The 21,779-nt window shown below is 40.3% G+C and overlaps 1 protein-coding gene and 1 pseudogene across 31 annotated transcripts in view; one reads left to right on the top strand and one right to left on the bottom strand.

Moving 5' to 3' along the window:
- The window catches only part of ALG9 (ALG9 alpha-1,2-mannosyltransferase), a 103,557-nt gene that overhangs the window by 5,882 nt on the left and 75,896 nt on the right, over positions 1-21,779 (top strand). For 25 of the 31 annotated variants that reach the window (XR_001747968.3, XR_001747967.3, XR_007062504.1 and 22 more), the window contains 6 exons: positions 449-519; positions 5,065-5,153; positions 7,963-8,098; positions 11,964-12,051; positions 12,215-12,320; positions 20,977-21,099. Coding sequence is in view for 24 of the 31 variants with exons in the window: in NM_001352417.1 (NP_001339346.1) it covers positions 449-519; positions 5,065-5,153; positions 7,963-8,098; positions 11,964-12,051; positions 12,215-12,320; positions 20,977-21,099 (613 nt within the window). In the remaining 7 variants the exon portion in view is untranslated. Of the gene's footprint in view, positions 1-448; positions 520-5,064; positions 5,538-7,962; positions 8,099-11,963; positions 12,052-12,214; positions 12,321-20,976; positions 21,100-21,779 lie in introns of those variants that run through there. The other 6 variants (XR_007062503.1, NM_001352418.1, NM_001441206.1 and 3 more) reach the window with 3 other exon arrangements.
- GNG5P3 (G protein subunit gamma 5 pseudogene 3) lies at positions 1,002-1,507 on the bottom strand (annotated as a pseudogene).

Genomic DNA, 21,779 nt, shown 5'->3' with positions numbered 1-21,779 from the left:
AATATTTTGTCATAATCACTACCTGATATATTATGGTTGTTGAAGAATTGCTTGTTGAATGAGCATTATATTGCAAGAATGTTTTCACTATCTTTGTAAACATAAATTTTAATAGCTGTATAATTGTCCATGAGCTAGATGTAGCCTAGTTTATTTAATCATTTCCCTATAATTGGATATTTTGTAGTTTTTGAAACAGTTTTTACTAAAACTGCAATTAACATTTTCATGAATGGAGCTCTACCTCCCAACCCCCACCAGCTGGAGTGATAGAAGTAGGTATACTGATATTGAGTCAAGGGATATGAAAATTCTTGATCCATGTTGCTTTTCAAAAGAATTATACCAATTTACAGTGTTATTGACAATAAATGAGAGTGGTTCATGTTTATGAGTTTTTCTAGCTCATATCTGTGACTTCTGTTTTCTTTTTCTGGGTTTCTTTTAGATTCTTGTGTTTTACTTTTTGCGATGTCTTCTGGCTTTTGTGAGCTGTATTTGTGAACTTTACTTTTACAAGTGAGTATAAAAACTTTGCTTCTAAAAGTGCTGTGAGGAAACCCATTATTGCATAGATTATCTGTTGTGATAGTCTAGGCAGTGATTAGAAATAGAAAACTCTTGACCGGGTGCGGTGGCTCACACCTGTAATCCCAGCACTTTGGGAGGCCAAGGCGGGCAGATCACCTGAGGTAGAGAGTTTGAGACCAGCCTGACCAACATGGAGAAACCCCATCTCTACTAAAAATACAAAATTAGCCGGTTGTGGTGGTGCATGCCTGTAATCCCAGCTACTCGGGAGGCTGAGGCAGGAGAGTCACTTGAACTTGGGAGGTGGAGGTTGTGGTGAGCTGAGATTGTGCCATTGCACTCCAGCCTGGGCGATAAGAGCAAAACTCCATCTCAAAAAAAAAAGAGAAAGAAGTAGAAAACACTTTCCTCCTAGCTCCTGATATATATATCATATACATATTTTTTTTTCTGGGAAAGAAAACTTTTTTTTTCATACTGAGTTTTATTGTATGCTGCTGCCAGTGTGGATAAAACAGTTACCCTTGTGAAATAGAAATTCATGAAATTCAGAGAGGTAGATGTTAAAGACTGATGAAACTAGAAGTTCGTATATTACAGCACATGTGCTACAGGGATAAGCTTTTGTACAGGCTTCAAATTTAGCTCTCTTTTGAATATCCACTGGATCATAAGAAGTGGTTTGGGAAACTTTTGAAATTCATTTTACTACAAAAAAGAACAGATTTTCTGGGGTCTGAAGGGATTTGTACTTGAAGATACTCTAGTCAGCAGAGGGTCATGTTGAACATTCTGCAGACAGAATTGTTTGAAGTCTGCAGCTGCCTGGGAAACTTTTATGCAGTTGAGCCTGGCCTCCAGCCGGGGCTGTTGAACCACTTTCTTCATAGCGGCAACGCTGGAGGAGCCAGACATGGTGCACGTGAGGGCCGGGCCAGTTCGTGGGTTGGTGGGTCGTGGGTCAGCGGGGCCTGACTGAAAACTTCTTGCTTTTATTTATTGTTCTCTTCTTTTTCTTTTTTTAATTTTTATTTTTCAATAGTTTTTGGGGTACAGGTGGGTTTTGGTTACATGGATAAGTTCTTTAGTGGTGATTTCTGAGATTTTGATGCACCCATCACCTGTAGCTCCTGATATTAAATCTGAAGTGTGACTTCTCGTTTGAAACCAACAGTTGAAGGGAACACTGTACTTCTAATTATCGTTTTCTTTCCTGAGGTCATAAATACCATATCCTTATATCATTCATTTTAATTCTGTTAAAAACTATCTAACTGGTCTTTACTTGATAGGATTTAGTAGAACCCTATTTTCGGTCCTAAGATACAGGATCATGATTTGCCTCTGCCCTACAGCTTAGTTGATAATAAACTACTCCCGGTGTGGGATATCACTGCTCTTGTTTGCACCCAATATATTGTCTTTCACAAAGTACCTATTAGTTGATTGAATATTAGTTGGGACTATTAAGCATTTAAGTGTCCCGGTAATAAATATAGCCACCTTTTTTACATGATAACTAACAAACGTCTTGTTTTAATAATGCTTTAGTAATATATTTAAAGGTATTTGGACTTAGTGATCATTATTTAAAATCTTCCCACAGCTAAAAATGTCAGATTTTAAAAAATGTTTGGCCTTGACTGTGAGTGGAGTGGAGGGAAAAAAAGTAAAGCTAGTGCTGCCTTTGAGGATTGTAACCGTAAATTCCGTAAATTGGTCTTTATATGGGTTTGGGCCTGAATTCAGATCACCTATGTGGTCCTTCAAGCCCTAAGCTGAGAATTTACTTTAATATATTTTATTTATTTTATTTTATTTTTGAGACTGTCACCCAGGCTGGAGTGCAGTGGCATGATTTCGGCTCACTGCAACCTCAGCCTCCCGGGTTCAAGCAATTCTGCCATCTCAGTCTCCTGAGTAGCTGGGATTACAGGTGCAAACCACCACGCCTGGCTAATTTTTTGTACCTTTAGTAGAGATGGGGTTTCACCGTGTCTTGGTCTCCTGACTTCGTGATCTGCCCGCCTCGGCCTCCCAAAGTGCTGGGATTACAGGTGTGAGCCACCAGGCCCAGCCGAGAATTTATTTTAAATTGTTCTGGGTTGGTAGTGCCCGTGGCATCTGGCAAAAAATTTCTCTAGAGAAATGGACCCTTAACCCAAGTGTCTGAAAATTACCAGAGATAAAGTTCTAGTGAACAAGAAATTATAATAAAAATAAATCAGAGCACAGAGGGAGCAAAACATTATGGGTGAGAATCAGCAGAAATAACAGTCAACAGAACGTTCACCTGAAAAACTTCATTTATTGGGAAATAGGAATATAATGTAAGTATATTTAACATTTTCAAACAAGTAAAAGAACCAAAAACATGAACAAGAAACAAGAGATGACCAAATAAATTTAAAAAATTCAGAACTTATAAGAATCATATAATATGTAATATTATATAATATGAATAATATGTATATAATATTTATATTTAAGACTCAGTAGATAAACAGCAGATTAGACATTCTGATGAGTAAACTAGTAAATTGGAAGATTGATTTAAATAAATTACTCAAAATGCAGTACAGACAGACCAAAAAAAAAAGGTAATATAGAAAAGGTTAAGAAATGTGTAAGCCACGGCTGGGCACGGTGTTTTATGCCTGTAATCCCAGCACTTAGGGAGGCCGAGGCAGGTGGATCACTTGAGGTCAGGAGTTCGAAACCAGCCTGGCCAACATGGCGAAACCTCATCTCTACTAAAAATACAAAAATTAGCCAGGTGTGGTGGCACATGCCTATAGCCCCAGCTACTTGGGTGGTAGAGGCACGAGAATCACTTGAACTCAAGAGACGGAAATTGCAGTGAGCCAAGATCACCCCATTGCACTCCAGCCTGGGCAAGTGAGACTCTCTCTAAAAAAAAAAAAAAAAAGAAAAAAAAGAAACATGTAAGCCAGAGTTGAAAGAACTGACATACATCTAATCAGATTGTAGAAGGAGATGATAGAATGCGGAGAGGCAATATTCGGGGTATTAATAGCTGAGAATTTTCTAGAAATGATGGGAAAAAAAGATGCTAATCCATGGATTTAGTAAACCTAACATATCCCAAGCTAGATACATAAAAAATTAGTGTAGTGAAACTGTGTAAGACAATAGAGACAAAGAGAAAGATTTTAAAAATTGTCAGAGAACTAATAGAATACCTGCAAAGGAGTGTTAGGCAATTACACTGACAGAAGACTTTTTAACAGCCAGAAGACCAAAAAAGAATATCTTCAAAGTCCTGAGAGAAAATAACTTTCATCCTAAAATTGTATATTAGGTTAAGCCATCTTTTAAGACCAAGAGCTAAATACAGACTTTTCAGTTTAAAAAAAAAAGAGAAAGGGAAAAAAAAAGGAAGAAGCCTGTAATCCCAGTGCTTTGGGAGACTTAGGCAGGAGGATCATTGAGGATTGCTTGAGCTCAGGAATTTGAGATCAGCCTGGGCAACATAGCAAGACCTCATCTCTACAAAAAATTAGCTGGATGTGATGGCACATGCCTGTAGTCACAGTTACTCCTAGCCATTCAGGAGGCTGAGGCAGGAGGTTCCATTGAACACTGGAGTTCAAGGATACAGTGAGCTATGACCATGCCACTGCACTCCAGCCTGAGCGACAGAGAGTATGACTCTATCTCGGAGTGGGAGGAGGAGGGGAAGAAAGGAAACGAAAGGAAACCAACCAACCAAAAAAACGGAATTTATCATTAACAGATTCTTATTGAAATAACTTCTAAAAGAGGTACTTAGGAAAAAGCAAAATTATTTCAGAAAGAAGCTCTGAAATGCAGTAAGGAATCTGAGCTAGGAAATGATGAACACGTGGGTATGTCCGAACAAACATTGACTGAGTGAAGCAGTAATAATGCCTAAATACATTTAATTTGTGGGGTTCACACCTACAAGAAAGAATTAGAAGAAGATACGTAATTGCTTAAGTTTGAGAAACACTGATTTAACCACTTATTCACATTTTCATCTATCTCCTAGCCTTTTTTTCTGACAACTACCATTTATTGAGCAACTATGTGCCAGGCACTCTCCTAAGCACTTTTCCTTGCATTGTCCTCACAGAAACCTTACAAAGTTTGTATTATTATCATTATTTTATGCTTGAGGAATCAGACAGAGACATTATTCAACCAGAGTAGGGTTCCACTGCTAGTAAGTGGCAGAGCCAGAATTTGAATGTGTGCCCACCTGTATCTGAGGTCTATTATTTTTCACCACATCATTCTATTTTCCACTTGATAGATATAATCTTAGCATGTAAAGAATACATTTTCTTTTAGGTAGGGAGCTTCTCTTCTGTGTCAGAAATAAGAATGTTTGGGTTTCTTATGCACAGTGAATTGCTAACAAACCTGACAAGGTAGTTTTGTGTTTGACTTTAGATCTTCAGTGTTATCTGTGGTACGTGTTTTTCTCCTTTGATTTGAAATGTCTATTCCTAATATTCTCAATGCTGATAGTCTTTGCCTTTTTCCTAGGGCTGTGTGCAAGAAGTTTGGGTTGCACGTGAGTCGAATGATGCTAGCCTTCTTGGTTCTCAGCACTGGCATGTTTTGCTCATCATCAGGTAAGTAAAAGGGCAGATGAGGGAATTGCAGGTCATCACCAGGTAAGTAAAAGGGCAGATGAGGGAATTGCAGGTTCACCAATAGTTCACAGTTGCATTTAAAGGAAGCATTTGTCCAAATGTAGGTTATATTTGTAGAACATGTCAATAATTTGCAGAGCACTGTTATCTACATTATCTTGATTGACCTTTGTAACAATCCTACCATGTAAGTAAGAAAAACATTTTCTCACTTTTGCAGGTAAGGACATTGAAACGTAGATGAAATGATTTACTAAAAGTCAAAATTCATAAATGGTAGAGCTGGTAGTCTCACCAGGATGTTTTCTATTCCATTCTTGCATCAACCACCCACCTCCTTTCTTGGCCATTAGTGGAAAGAAAGTAATTCTTTTATTTTGTTTAAAGAAGTTATTTGTACATAAAGACCTGTTGTTGATGATTCTGTTTTCTACTGATGATACATTATTTGATATGTATTCTATGTGCATCTTCTGCTGGGCTTTCTTTTAATAATAAGCTTCTGGAAATTTAGAATAAAAACCTCACTCTAGAGCATTGGCTTTCAGACTGTTCTGCCATTGAACATTTGTGTTGTATAAGCTGAATCAAGTTGGTCCACTGCCAAATGGTAGTCTATTCCCAGTTCTCCAGAAAAATTAAGTTACTGGATATAATTGTCTCAATTTTAGTTTCTGCTTGTGTGTACCAGGATCTAGTATATACAGAGTATACACAAAAACATAGTATCTGGCACAAAATTATATGCTTACTTTTCCCTTATTGAATATATCAAAATTGATGTTGTTCTGCAGAGATGTCAGGGCTGTACTCCAGAGTGACTTTGAGAGCCTGTCCTAAATGCATCTGTGCTCTACCCTCAGATTCCTCTGCCCCCTTTGTCCTCTACACTGCAGCTGGAACTGACAGCTTTGGATGGCATCATTATTATTTGACATTTATTGGTAAAGGGTGTACCTCAGATGTTTTTTAAGTTGCTTTCCTACTACTTTTTTTCTTTTCTTTTCTTTTCTTTTTTTTTGAGACAAGAGTCTCGCTCTGTTTGCCCAGGCTGGAGTGCAGTGATGCCATCTCGGCTCATTGCAACCCCCTCCTCCCAAGGTTCAAGCGATTCTCTTGCCTCAGGCTCCTGAGTAGCTGGGATTACAGGCGTGCACCACCACGCCCAGCTAATTTTTTTATTTTTAATAGAGATGGGGTTTCACCATGTTGGTCAGGCTGTTCTCAAACTCCTGACCACGTGATCCACCCGCCTCAGTCTCCCAAAGTGCTGGGATTACAGGTGTGAGCCACCGCACGTGGCCTCTTTTCTTTTCAAGTGCAAGGTCTTGCTCTTCACCTAGGCAGGTTAGAGTGCAGTGGCACAATCGTAGCTCACTGCAGCCTTGAATTCCTGGGCTCTAGCAGTCTTTCCACTACAGCCTCCCAAGTAGCTAGGACTATAGGCATGCATCACCATGCCTGGCTAGTTTTAAAGTTTTTTGTAGAGATGGAGTTTCACTGTGTTGCCCAGGCTGGTCTCAAACTCTTAGCCTCAAGCAGCCCCCCACACCTTGGCCTCCCAGAGTACTGAGATTAAAGACATGAGCCACTGTGCCTGGCCTGCTACTCCTACAATTGATCTTTATATGTAGAAAATTCCTTAGAATATCTTTAGTTTTGTAATCTCATTTGAGACACAGATAAGTTGAAGGCATCTTTTCATACAGAGCCTCTGAACCCTTTGCTGAGTTTAAAAAAACCTCACTGCCTATTAATTGTGGTTGTTTTGTAGTTGATACTGATTTTTCTTCCCTACTGATTCAGACTTTCTGCAGCAGAAGAGGCAGATCTGCATTTTTGTTCAGAGTTACTAGAAACACTTTAATCAATTGTTTCTGTTCCAGAGACCCTGTACTCTGTCCTCTGCTGTATAAAACAAGGTTGAGGTAGATGGAACTAATTAGGGGGCTATTTAAAGGCCAGATTATCTGTGTCAGCAGGTGGAGAGTGCAAAGCATTGCTGCCATACAATATCTGGCCCTTGAGGAGGCTTTCTAGAATTTCCGGGGCTAGAGGTTAGGACCAGGACAGTCTCAGAGGACCAATGGAAGATAAGCTTCTTCAGAAGTAAATTGTCAGCAATGGCTCTAAGTCTTTTAAAGCATATTCCCTTCCTGGAAATATAATCATGGGGTGTTCCTGGGGAGCGTGGAATTCTATGAGTTTTTGATTTGAGGTGTAGGCTGGGAGAGGAATTACATGGTTAGAATTGTATAATTGGGTTGGTACCTAAAAAAACAGGAAGGAGAGGCCAGGTGCGGTGGTTCACGCCTGTAATCCCGGTACTTTGGGAGGTCGAGACAGGCAGATCACGAGGTCAAGAGCTCGAGACCAGCCTGGCCAACATGGTGAAACCCCGTCTCTACTAAAAATACAAAAATTAGCTGGGTGTGGTGGCACGTGCCTGTAATCCCAGCTACTCGGTAGGCTCAGTCAAGAGAATCGCTTGAACCAGGGAATCAGGTTGCAGTGAGCTGAGATCCCACCACTGCACTCCAGCCTGGTGATAGAGCAAGACTCCGTCTAAAAAAAAAAACCAGGAGTGAGAAAAATAAGAGTCATTGAACTTCATTTTTTTAAAAAAGAATATCACTTTGCTGTCCTTTCTAATATAGCATTTCCCCAATTATGTACCTGTTTATTGACATTTTATAATGTAGGTAAATTTTTAATCAGTTTTTAATTGATACCTAATTAACCTCGAGCTCTTGTCCTCCTGCCTTTTTTCACTTCTTTACTCTTGCAGCATTCCTTCCTAGTAGCTTCTGTATGTACACTACGTTGATAGCCATGACTGGATGGTATATGGACAAGACTTCCATTGCTGTGCTGGGAGTAGCAGCTGGGGCTATCTTAGGCTGGCCATTCAGTGCAGCTCTTGGGTAAGAAACTAACAGTTCTCCTCCCATATATCGCTGGGCATATAGTAAATCTTAATGTTGGATTAGCTCCATATTGTCTGCATAGAATCTGAAGTTAATCAATTGGGCTTTCAAAGATTCTGGGAAATGGAAGAATATTTCTCTTAGCACTTACTATTATGATTAATTCTAATAAGAATAATGACCATTGAGCATCTGCTATGTGTTAGGCACAGTGAAACCCTTCGTAAACCTTATCTTGAAACCTTACAACAACTCTGCAGGAGAAATACAATTATTAGTACTTTATAAATGAGAAAGTAGACTCTGAGAGTTTGAATAATTTACCTTTAAGATTATGTTTGCTTTTGAATCCAGGCCTTTTTGACTCTATAGCTGATGTTTTCTCCACGCGGCACCACCCTGTTCTGTGAATTTTTTCACTCACTCGGATTTGAAATCTGAGTTTCCTCCCGTCTTCCTTCTTTCTTTATTTTTATTTATTTATTTATTTTGAGACGGAGTTTCACTCTTGTTGCCCAGGCTGGAGTGCAATGGCACGATGTTGGCTTATCACAACCTCCGCCTCCTGGGTTCAAGTGATTCTCCTGCCTCAGCCCCCCAAGTAGCTGGGGCTACAGGCGTGCGCCACCACACCTGGCTAATTTTGTATTTTTTAGTAGAGACAGGGTTTCTCCATGTTGGTCAGGCTGGTCTTGAACTCCCGACCTCAGGTGATCCGCTCACCTTGGCCTCACAAAGTGCTGGGATTACAGGCATGAGCCACTGCGCCTGGCCCAGTCTTCCTTCTTTCTTGCCCCCAGCATCTTTTTTTCCACCAAGCTCCTTGTATACTCTTTGTTCCCACTACTTCTGTTCTAGTGTGTGGTACCTTAATTTCTTACCTGTACCACAGGTAATTTAGGAAAATATTTTAATCTGATGCTAAGGTTATTTTAGAAGGATTATATCTTTATTGTAAAAAAAAAAAAAAAAAGTAAGTACCAGATTGTATAAGGTAAAAACAATTCCTAATTTTCTTCTCCGCTAGCTCAATCCTCAAAGATAGTCACTGCTAATAGTTTGGTATATGTCTTTCCAGAAAAATTATGCTGTGTGTATAAATATTTGTATACATACCTATCTACATTCTTAAAACAAATGGAATTATTCTGTATATATATAGGTATTCTACATATTAAATTTATATAATTGTTTATATTGGTTGCATAACATTCCATGATTTACTTATTGCCTTATTGGTAGACATTTGGTTTTCATTTTTTTACTGTTATAACCAATGCTTCAGTGAACAATTTTTTTTTCTTTTTTTTTTTTTTTTTTTTGAGATGGAGTCTTGCTCTGTCACCCAGGCTGGAGTGCAGTGGCACGATCTTGGCTCACTGCAACCTCTGTCTCCCGGGTTCAAGCAATTCTCCTGCCTCAGCCTCCCAAGTAGCTGGGTTTACAGGCACATGCCACCACGCCCAGCTAATTTTTGTATTTTTAATAGAGACGAGGTTTTACCATATTGGCCAGGCTGGTCTCGAACTCCTGACCTCGTGATCCACCTGTCTCGGCCTCCCAAAGTGTTGGGTTTACAGGTGTGAGCCATCGTGTCCGGCCCAGTGAACATTATTATACAGATATCTTTGTGCACTTGTGGGAATTTACCTATGGGGTAAATTTTTATGAGGGGAGTTACTAAGAGAATAGTCCATTTTAAAATTTCTTAAGTGCCTTTTAAAGGCTGGTTTCCTCATCTCCATTCCTTTCTTCTATTCTATTTTGCACATTCTCAGATTTTCATGTTCCTCAGGATTGTATCTTAGGTCCTCTTCTGTACTTTCTGCTATCTCTCAGCCATCTTGGTGATTCCCATAGCTTAATGTCTAGTCCAGTTATCTCTCTTGAGCTTCATTCATATATTCCCAGCTGCTTAGTAGATAGCTGCTGAATTCATTATCTTCTCTCCATAGCTGTTCCTTTACTTGTGTTTCTATTCCAGTAAATAGTACTGCTGTCTCCTCAATACTGACCCAGAAACCTGAAAATTGTCTGTGACTCTTCTCTCTTTCCCATCAGTGTTAATTGGTTGTATCTCCTGAATATCTTTTGAATCTGATTACTTGTCTTCACTCCCCCTTGTTCCTGGATCACTACACGGCCTCCTAAATGATCTCCTCCTCTCTAGTCTTGACCCCTGTAAATCAGCTCTCCAAACTCCACTAGAGTTATATTCCTCAAATGCAGATGTGGTTGTATCACTTCCCTGTTTTAAACTCTATGGCAGCTTCTCCATTGCTTTATGTCATGGAGGTTGGCCGACTGACCTGTTTTTGTATAGCCCAACAACTAAATAGTTTTTACGTTTTTAAAGGGTTTTTAAAAAACAACAAACATACACAGAGGGAGAAGACTATGCAACAGAGAACATATGTGGCCTGCAGACCCTAAAATATATACCGTCAGATCCTTTAAATAAAAAGTTTGCCAACCCCTGCCCTGTGGTATCCAAACTCAAAGATAACACAGAAAGCCCTGCATGGTCTTCCTTTTACTTTTCCAGCTTCTTTTTGTCAGTTCTTCCATTCCTTTCATTCACTATTTCATCTACATTGAATTTCACTGAGTTCCTCAAATACCTCTTGGGTGCCACATTTCGATGAGTCTGCCTTTACCAAGATAAGTGATTTCAGGATCACAATTAGTCAGTTAGCAATCAGTATACTGTCATTCATTGAATGCTTTGTGCTAGATACTGCTGATATTTTAGAAATTAGACAGTCATGGTTCCTGCCCTTTTGGAACTTAACATTTTAGTAGGAAAGACAGATATTGGACAAGTAATTAAAAGTATGACTTATCAAAGGAGAAATACAGGTGCTATGGAAATGGAAGTAGTTGGGGTGACAAAAAATAAAAACGCAAAATGTTATACGGAATTTACATAACAACATGGAGGTTCAAATCACAGAAGAGGTACTGTGACAGCACATGACATTGCTAAATCAATGATAGAGATGATGATGCCATATAAATTCAAAGATGGGGCCAGGCGTGGTGGCTCATGCCTGTAATTCCAGCACTTTGGGAGGGCGATGCAGGCAGATCTCCTGAGGTCAGGAGTTTGAGACCAGCCTGGCCAACATGGTGAAACCCTGTCTCTACTAAAAATACAAAACAATTAGCGGGGTGTGGTGGTGCACACCTGTAGTCCCAGTTACTTGGGAGGCTTAGGCAGGAGAATTGCTTGAACCCAGGAGGCGGCAGTTGCAGTGAGCTGAGATCACACCACTGCACCCAGCCTGGGCGACAGAGTGAGACTCTGTCTCAAAAAAAAAAAAAAAAAAAAAAAATTAGCCAGGGCTGATGGCCTGTGCCTGTAGTCCCAGCTACTCGGGAGCCTGAGGCAGGAGAATGCTGGAACCTAGGAGATGGAGGCGGTAGTGAGCCGAGATTGCGCCACTGCACTCCAGCCTGGGCAATAGAGTGAGACCCTGTCTCAAAAAAAAAAAAAAAAAAAAGTCTGTAATAAGGTTATTACTAAAATCCTAGTAAATCATGGAAGGGTGAGGTTAGTACTTATTTATTTGGCAGGGTGGGTGTAAGACAGTAGGGCACATATATTTTAAATTTCTGTTACCCATAAATGTGTATAAAATGGAATTCATTCCAGCAGCTCAGTAATTCTATTTCTTGTGCATCAGTGGGATACAGAGCACTCTGACAGGTCCTGTGACGACATCCTCTCACATACCAGGTTTCTTCCCTCACTATAACTGGCAGAGGCATTTTATTCTCAGTTCAGCATGAGGTATGTGTGAATCTGATTTGTCTCTGTCAGTATTTATTTAACTCCCCGCTCTGTTTCTCTGTTAAATAGTTTACCCATTGCCTTTGATTTGCTGGTCATGAAACACAGGTGGAAGAGTTTCTTTCATTGGTCGCTGATGGCCCTCATACTATTTCTGGTGAGTTTTCTTTTTTACTTGCTTTGTCCTAAAGTTGTAATGAAAGCAACTTTGATGTGAAAAAAGGAACATCAGGAGTTTATTCTGTTTTTCATTCTCAGGTTTATCCTATTAGCATTTTGAGAATGTTTCTAGATCAAAACTATTTTCTGCTCTGTTTTAGGTGCCTGTGGTGGTCATTGACAGCTACTATTATGGGAAGTTGGTGATTGCACCACTCAACATTGTTTTGTATAATGTCTTTACTCCTCATGGACCTGATCTTTATGGTAAGGCTTTGTGAAATTTGGGCAAGTGTTAGGAGATAGCTTAATTTGCCTGAACTTCAGCATTTTAATTCAGTTGCCTCGTATTATTAGATGTAGCATTTCTTGGCTGATATTATCTTTTCCTATTTAAAAATGACATCTGAGTATAGCACAATGATGACACGTAGCCACTCAAATATTTCTCCTTGATTAATGTGATATTCCAATACTGGCTCTCTATTTTTCCTGTTTGTTATTTTCACTTTCAGAGTTTTGAGGACTCTGGGTATGCTATGGCTTTTGATGCTTTTTTTTTTTTTAATTAAAAGTTACTTTTTTCTCTTCTTATTAAAAAATCAGTATGATAGGAGAAGGAAATGAAAGCATAATACTATCATCTCCATATAACTATTACTAACACCTGGGAGTATACCCCAGACATTTTTTTTTTTTTTTTTGAGGTGGAGTTAGACTCTTGTTGCCCAGGCTGGAGTGCAGTGGCGCGATCTTGGCTCCCTGCAACCTCCACCTCCTGGGTTCAAGTGATTCTCCTGCCTCAGCCTCCCGAATAGCTGGGATTACAGCTATTAGCCCGCCACCATGTCTGGCTAATTTTTTTGTATTTTTAGTAGAGACGGGGTTTCTCCATGTTGGCCAGGCTGGTCTTGAACTCCTGACCTCAGGTGATCCACCCGCCTTGGCCTCCCAAAGTGCTGGGATTACAGGCATGAGCCACCGTGCCCGGCCCAGACATTTTCTATATATACACACATTTGATGTTACTTTTTCTCTTCCAGATTTGCTTTACTTCAATTCCAGCATTTGGGGAGAAAGTTTGGAAAATCTGTAGACAAAGTTACAGCGATTGGGGCTGGGCTGGGGTCAGCATGGGAGGGTGGGGAAGTTGACCAGCTTAGGGTTAAGAGAGAAAATGGAATGCCTTTAATCTGGGGATGCAGTCTTCAGTTTACCCCATCTCCACTCCTTCCCTGATGCCTTTCACTCCACCAGCCAGTTTCATTTGGCCCCTGAAGGAATTTGCGTTAGTTACAGTAATGGGGGGATGAGCTAGAGATCTTTTGGATCAAATCAGCCAACTCAGCAAACATTTCACGAGAGAGGCAGTTTTTTCATTAAAATAATTATAGTTTCTTCAGCCTTAATCTTTTGAGGGTCTTGGAACATTCTGTATAAGGGCTTGCTTTGGGGTTCTGCTATGAAGCAGGTTAAGATTATATCTATCTGTACTCCTGTCAATTTAAGTCTTGTCACTAGCCATGTCCATCATTTGCCTGTGCCATTTTGCCAATAGAACCAACAGATTGAATAAGGAGATTTAAAGTAAGAATATGAATGAGATTTACTTGAGTCTTCTGGAATTTTGGGAATATTATCATTCTAGGTGGCAAGTAATAGTTTAAGATAAGCAGTGCTTTGTTCAGTGGATTGAATTCACAAATTGCACAGTTAGAGAATAATTACTAAGTGAAAGAACTTTAAAAAAGCTCCTTTATGGCTCTAAGATCCCCAGGGGTGTGAGAAAAGGCCCCAGTATTAAGCTTTTGCCTCTAGATGTCTCCCTTTAGCTAGGGAGAGTTTGCTTGTTTGTGATTGCCTCTTGTTTTAGTTTACTTGTAAAATTTTATTCTATTTCACAAGGCAATAAAAGATCTTAGATCTAGACTGCACAGTAGAAATTGTTTCACAGAGAGCCTGTTAGAAACACAATATCTACTCTCTGTGGGTGAATAAATTGAGTTAATTTGTGTTAATTTTGAAAAATTGACTTCTCCACCTTTATAATGGGTTACTGATACTCTAACTCTTTATAAAACCTTTTGTGAGAGACTTATGAAAGTGACAGATTTTTTTGTATCCCTCTGGATTGATGAATCTCTCTCTCTCTTTTTTTTTTTTTTTTTTGAGATGGAGTTTCGCTCTTGTCACCCAGACTGGATGCAGTGGCATGATCTCTGCTCACTGCAACCTCCCCTCCTGGGTTCAAGCAATTCTCCTGCCTCAGCCTCCTGAGTATCGGGAATTATAGGCGCCCGCCACCACACCCTTCTAATTTTTATATTTTTAGTAGAGACGGGGTTTCGACATGTTGGCCAGGCTAGTTGCCAACTCCTGACCTCAGGTAATCCACCAGTCTTGGCCTCCCAAAGTGCTGGGATTACAAGCATGAGCCACCACGCCCAGGGATGAAGCTCTTAAATATAGGAATAATCAGGGTGGTAGGGAAAGTAGGAAAGAAGGAATAAATTCTGATTTAAGTTTACGGTGCTAATTTAACAGTGGGTCAGTCAGGAACCCCTGTGGTAGGTTTTGAGATCCAGTAGAGCAGTAGCCAGTCTTTCCTGGGATATTGGCATTTGCTGTTCATTTCAGTCAGCGTTTAACAGGGAAAGAGTCCTTGGGACTTCTTTCTGCCTACTTTAATGAACCTGAGATAGCTTCAGTTCAGATTTTGCTATTTTGGATGTACAGAAACTGATCACTTTCCTGGGGGTAGCAAAAACTTTGTTGAAACAGAGAGAATTGGCATACCAACCATGAACAGGACTGATACAGTGCTGCAGTCAGCCAGACTTTAGGCAGTTGTTCCTTGATGGCAGGATTTGTGTGCCTTTACCTCATCTTTGAATTTGGTAAAAGAAAAAAATTTTTGTCTGATTTTTTTTTTTTTTTTTTGAGACAGTATCTCGCTCTGTCACCCGGGCTGGAGTGCAGTGGTGCGATCTCTGCTCACTGCAACCTCTGCCTCCCGGATTCAAGCTATTCGCCTGCCTCAGCCTCCCTAGTAGCTGGGATTACAGGCACCCATCACCATGCCTGGCTAATTTTTGTATTTTTAGTAGAGACAGGGATTTCACCATGTTGGCCAGGCTGCTCTTGAACTCCTGACCTCAAATGATCTGCCTGCCTCAGCTTCCCAAAGTGCTGGGATTACAGGCATGAGCCACCATGCCTGGCCTGATTTCCATTCTTTGAGAGTGTTAACTCCTTTTTGGTTTAGGAGGCCTGCAGAGAGAATACTTCTTCCATCTTAGGAGTAGGAATTCCTTGTATATTCCAGACTTACAGGAAAGATCTGTCAAGAATCAATGAATGGATAAATTCTGGGGTATCCATTGGGTTACATTAGTGTGTCATTTACAGTTGTATCATAGAATCACTTTAGTTAGACCTGTTGTGGTGCTAGCTTGAGATTTTCGTGATACCAAATAATAATACTATAATAGATAGAAATAAAATACCTTTTAAATCAAAAAGTACTTCATGATTGTCAGCTAATTTTATTATAATTGGTGAGGCCATTCAGTATACATAAAAGACTTGTATTTTACTAGATGTTTTGAGGCAGTAAAATTGTCAGACAGCGAGATAGCATGTCTTTTGTATTGGAAATGCTAGCTCTTTCACTTTATTACATGTTGGGCACTATTTGGCATTGTTTTGGCTGTTTTACAAGAGTCTCCTGCTCCAGGTGCCTCATTAGCTATGTTAAGCACACAGTTTCTTATCTGAAAATTAAAAATGCATTGTGCTGTATACACCATAGAATACTATGCAGCCATAAAAAGGAACAAGATAATGTCCTTTGCAGGGACATGGATGGAACTGAAAGCCATTATCCTCAGCAAACTAACACAGGAGCAGAAAACCAAACACCACATCTTCTCACTTATAAATGGGAGCTGAACGATGAGAACACATGGACACAGGGAGGGGAGCAACATACACTGGGGCCTGTGGAGGGGGCGGAGGGAGGGAGAGAGCATCAGGATAATAGCTAATGCATGCTGGGCTTAATATCTAGGTGATGGGTTGATCTGTGCAGCAAACCACCATGGCTCAAGTTTACCTATGTAACAAACCTGCACATCCTGCACATGTACCCCAGAACTTAAAACAATTTAAAAACAGGAAAAAAGATAGTTTTTGCATACATCTCTTAGTGCTATTTCTCATGTGTAAGAACATACTAAGCCTATTAATATTTCTTGACTGGATGGACAAATGGGCTTCAGTTAAAGAAACATTGAAGGTCAGGTGTGGTGGCTCACGCCTGTAATCCCAGCACTTTGGGAGGCCGAGGTGAGTGGATCACTTGAGGCCAGGAGTTCGAGACCAGCCTGGCCGACATGGTGAAACCCCATCTCTACTAAAAATACAAAAATTAGCTGGGCGTGGTGGTGCATGCCTTTAATCCTAGCTACTCAGGAGGCTGAGGCACGAGAATTGCTTGAACTCGGGAGGCAGAGCTTGCAGTGAGCCGAAACTGCACGACTGCACTCCAGCCTGGGCGACAGAGGGAGACCCTGTCTCAAAAAAAAAAAGAAAGAAAGAAAGAAAGAAACATTGAATAAATTGCTTTTGAGCATTAATCTTGTTTCATCATAGTACTTACTGTCTAATTAGGCTGCAGACACACAAATAGATAATTACAGGACAGTGTTTTATGTGCTACAGGGGAAAGATAGGGAATCATAGGAGCATGTCCTTCTGGTGGTGTCAAGAAAGGTGCGGCTCTTGAGCTGAGCCTGGAAGGAAGAGTAGGAGTGTCCTTAGTAAATGCAAGAGGGGTACATTTCTGACAAATGGAATGTCAAATATAGGGACTGCTGAAGCAAAAAGATTGAATATTGAGTTCTTTATAAAAACTTATTTTTACAGCATTGGTTGGATTTTAGGTAGAAACTATTCAGACATGAGCAAGATGATTTCAATCACTCCATTGTGGTTATAATCATATAAATGTTTACCCTTTCTATTGTTCCTGGTTTTCTTTTTTTTTTTTTTTTTTGAGATGGAGTTTTGCTCTTGTTGCCCAGGCTGGAGTGCAGTGGGGTGACCTCGACTCCCCGCAACCTCTGCCTCCTGGATTCAAGCAATTCTCTTGCCTCAGCCTCCTGAGTAGCTGGGATTACAGGCATGCACCACCACACCCAGCTAATTTTTAGTAGAGATGGGGTTTCTCCATGTTGGTCAAGCTGGTCACGAACTGTTCCTGGTTTTCAAAGGGACCTTTCTACACTTTCCTGGCTAGGTAGCATGTATTAGTGAGACATTCTAGACTTGAGCTGACACCTTTCATTTGAAGCTGGGGAAAATAAAGGGAGTACATTTTGAAAGATATTAATTACAATATCTTCTGATTATTGAATGCCTACTGTGTGTCAGAAGTTATTCACATACCATCTTTTTTCACTCAAAACACTCTGAGACAGGCCTTATTTATTTGTATTCCTGGATGAAGAAACTGAGGTTGAGATGGTGGGGAATATGCCACATAGTTAAAAAAGTAGCAAAAGTGGGATAAGAGTCTAGTGTTGTCTGACTTCAAAGCCCGTGTTCTTTGCACTGAAAACAAGACCCTTAGCAAAACCCTGGAGTTTGGCTACTGAGACTTTACCAGAGAATAAGCTTACTAAAGCAGAGAGCATGAGTTGAGGGTGGGAGAAGATAGGATCCAATCTATAGAATAGGTGGAAAATTATACCTTTGAAGGTTTGTGCATTTTGGTTTGGAAAGTGATCAGGAGCCCCTAGCGAGCTTGAGTGGCAGAGTGACGTGCACACTGGCAAGTTCTCCTTTTACATGGGAGCGCTGTACCAGACCCTTTTGTTGAAGAAAGAAGGAGTGTTTGGATAAGGTAAAGAACATTTGGCACTTAGAAAATTTAGAATAGGATAGACTAGAATTGTGAAGTCTTAGGCAAAATGTCTCTGTGGGGTCAGAGATCAAGAGGCGAAATTTAGTGTTGCAGAAAAGAAAGTGATTGGTCTTGTCACTGATTTTGCCCCTCATAACATTTCAAGTTCTCAGATGTTGATGCTGGCAAGTATTTTTGTCTGGTGAGTGAAGAGTGGTGCTCTCTGCTGAGGAGTGCACAGGCCTGGAGAAGGCATGGGAATACACTTACAGGAAATACTCTTGCCTCAGAAAGAACAGTGAATCTGCTCAGGTTGCCACTTTGCAGCTTAGGACAGGATCCCATTGCCTGTTTATGTGTTTTATCAACATCTGTCTGATCACTGGATGGAAAGTTTCAGACGATACCCGCAAATGCCCTCTGTTGGGAGGCCCACAGGTTTCCATAATTGCAGTGGCAGAGGAAGAAGCCCCAGTGGGGTCTTATCAGTCCTGCTTAGAATTCACTGCCAGCCAGAACTGTTCTAGAGCCTTTGCTCTTTTGTTAATCATTTCTCTTGAACTTAGTGGCTTTTCCCTCTCGGTGGTACAAATTTGACATTTATAAGGATGTCTTACTATGATTTAGTTCCTACAGGTCTATAAAATTATAACTTTGGGAAGTAGTTCTCCTTCATTCAATCTATGGAGCAGTAAACATTATCCCTTCTTTTAGCTTCTTTGAAAGCTTCCCTTAGCTCATTTGATTGAAAGGACTTGAGGCACTTTCCATAAAGAGGAGGATGGGTGAGTCACTCCCTGCAGAGACCCTGCTGCCAGCTTTCCTTCACCTAAACATCTTGCACCAGTTCAGCGTTTAGCTTGTCATTCTGACATGGTTTTTTGCATAGTTCAGCTCTGATGTTTTCTGAGCAGCAGCATTGAATATCTCCCTGAAAAGAGATAAAAGTTTATACCCTTTGCTTTCCTAAGGCAGATGTGTCATCAAGCAGGGGAGGACTCTGGCTGATAGAAGTCACTCTTTTTGTTCCCTTTTGCCCTTGTTTTTAAGACTGTTGACACTTGAACCTTCTTCACTTTTGGCTTATCCCCCAATTTTTGCCCCATCTTTCAGGGAAATAACAGTCTGTTATGAAATGTTCACAGCCTAGTTGGAAACTTGATTTATGAGCTCTGAATACATAAAAATGATTGCATTTACCAGCTTAATACTTTTGTTTCCTCATCTCAGAGTACAGTATACCTAGATAAAAAGATAGCTGTAACAGGAGGGTATAGTAAATTGTGTTAGAGACAAATATTTTCTGGAAGCTAAAGTGCTTTCCTGAAAAAAACAGTCTGTATTTGCAAATATGAAAGAGACAAGTGGCTTTTTCCTATTGGTGCTTGACATCTGTAATAGATAATAGAAAGGATAACCCCTTTTCTGTCTGGTCACTCTATGGTTTTTCTTCACAAGCTCAGATTTCCAGAATCCTGTTAAGAAAAAGGTGAGTCAGAGGTTGCTAGCCCTGCTTCCGCACTGGTGGTCAGGAGAGGATTGTGCAAAAGCTTACCTCTCTGGAAATTGGATCCTAAAGGACTCAGTTTAAAAAATAATGTTGTTAAATTCTAATTAAGATTCAGAAAAGACATTTTTGATTTGAAAATAAAACCATCCGTTAGTTTTCTATAACCCAAATGCATATTTGTAAAGAATACAAGATTAAAATGTCCCTAATGAACTGGGCCTGGAATAGGACCTCTGTTCATGAATATTCTCTATCATTGTATTGAGACAGGAAGGAGTGAGCTTCCCCCAAAGGTGACGCACAGTTGAACTTGAACTTTTCCTTAGTGTAACCTCCCTCCCTCTTACTTCTCCCCTAAATGTTTCTAGCATTATGGGTTTGGTTTCTAATCTTATTTTGCTGTGCAAGCTGCAAGAATGTCAGGTTTTTCTGACTATTCCTCTGCCTTCTGATTACCCTTTTAAGCAATGCTGATTGCAGGAAATTGCTATGGTGCAAGGCGGGTGTCACAACACACAGTGATTAAAACCCGCATGTGTCATTCACTTCTTGATTGAAGTAATCATACAGAGGGGAAAAGCAGATGAAAAACCTGCTAAATGTGCAGAGGGGGTCTGTTTCTCATCATTTGGGTGTAAGGATTTTGAGTTAAAGAATAAAAAATAGTGTGAGTAAGACTTGTGTTTTTAGTGATTTTGCTTCATTCTGAATCCTTAAAGCTTCTCAGCAAGGCCTGGGCCTCTGAACATGATCTAAGAAAAACGGGTTGTTGCTTTATACCAAACACATGTTGCCCAATGTACGCGACTATAAGTGGTTGAGCATATCAAGGGGAAAGATGCTAGAATGTAAATGGGACAAGCAGATGAAAACAAAATGGGAGATGCCTGAATAGCTCAAACTAAGTTCCTTATTTTTATTTTTATTTGAGACAGGGTCTCACTGTGTCGCCCAGGCTGGAGTGCAGCGGCACGACCACAGCCCACTGCAGCCTTAACCTCCTGGGCTCAAGCAATCCTCCCATCTCAGCCTTCCTAGTAGCTGGGATTACAGGCATGAGCCACCACACCCAGCCACCAACTAAGTTTTTTTATCACTCTTTCCTTTGGTCTGCGCGATCTTGAGAGAATAGTTAAATTGAAATGGCAGTTTTATTATTTTAGCCCTATGTGGCTCTAAAGCGATTTAAATTATTTGGTGCTTCTCAAAAGTATTAGTTCCATTGGGGCATAGCAATTTGGGCTAGATATAGTGGTCAGTATAGAAAATACAGCTAACTATTTGAAACTTGATTTCTCCCTAAATCCTCATGACCAATCCCATTCTCTTCCATCTCGCTCTTGTGCTTCTTTTGTGTAGCTTAGCATGGGAAGAGTGGGCTGTGCACTCTCATTCCCATGAGGCATAGGATCATCAGTGTTATTCCAACAAAGAACATTATATGTCAAGCACCGTAATAGGTGTTAAAGGCATCCACTAATGATTTCTTACCTTTATGTCTCCCTCAGGTACAGAACCCTGGTATTTCTATTTAATTAATGGATTTCTGAATTTCAATGTAGCCTTTGCTTTGGCTCTCCTAGTCCTACCACTGACTTCTCTTATGGAATACCTGCTGCAGAGATTTCATGGTGAGTGGCATAAGAGATGGTAGGTGTTTTGGGAGGAAAGAGCAAGTAATGGTGTATACCAAGAACTGAAGGAAAATCCTACTTACTTTATTTTCCACATTCTTCCTATGGAAATGGTTGGCTTACTGAATTTTCAGTCTGTGTTTGTTGATCCATTGAACCCTTGTGAAGATTTGGTGAATTGTGGCAAATTAAATTGACAGGAGGAAGAGCTTTATTATTGCTTTAAGTGAGGAAGTCAATATAATTTACACAATCACCCAGGGAAGTAAAAATATTTATAAAATCTCAGAAGGAGGCCGGGCGCGGTGGCTGACATCTGTAATCCCAGCACTTTGGGAGGCCGAGGCGGGTGGATCACCTGAGGTCAGGAATTAAAACCAGCCTGGCCAACGTGGTGAAACCCCATCTCTACTAAAAATACAAAAATTAGCCAGACATGGTGGTGGATGCCTGTAATCCCACTTACTAGGGAGGCTGAGGCAGGAGAATCGTTTGAACCCAGGAGGCAGAGGTTGTAGTGAGCCAAGACCCTGCGCCGCTGCACTCCAGCTGAGCGACAAGAGCAAAACTCCATCTCAAAAAAAATCTCAGAAGAGAACAAGCCTATTTGAGTTTTCTATCTTTTAAAGAAGTGTATATTAACCTGATAGGTTGCTTAAGGTAATCCACGAGATAGT

The sequence above is a fragment of the Homo sapiens genome, chromosome 11 (assembly GCF_000001405.40).
Source record: "Homo sapiens chromosome 11, GRCh38.p14 Primary Assembly".
NCBI classification, from domain to species: Eukaryota; Metazoa; Chordata; class Mammalia; order Primates; family Hominidae; genus Homo; species Homo sapiens.
This window is presented reverse-complemented; position numbering and strand designations above follow the sequence as displayed.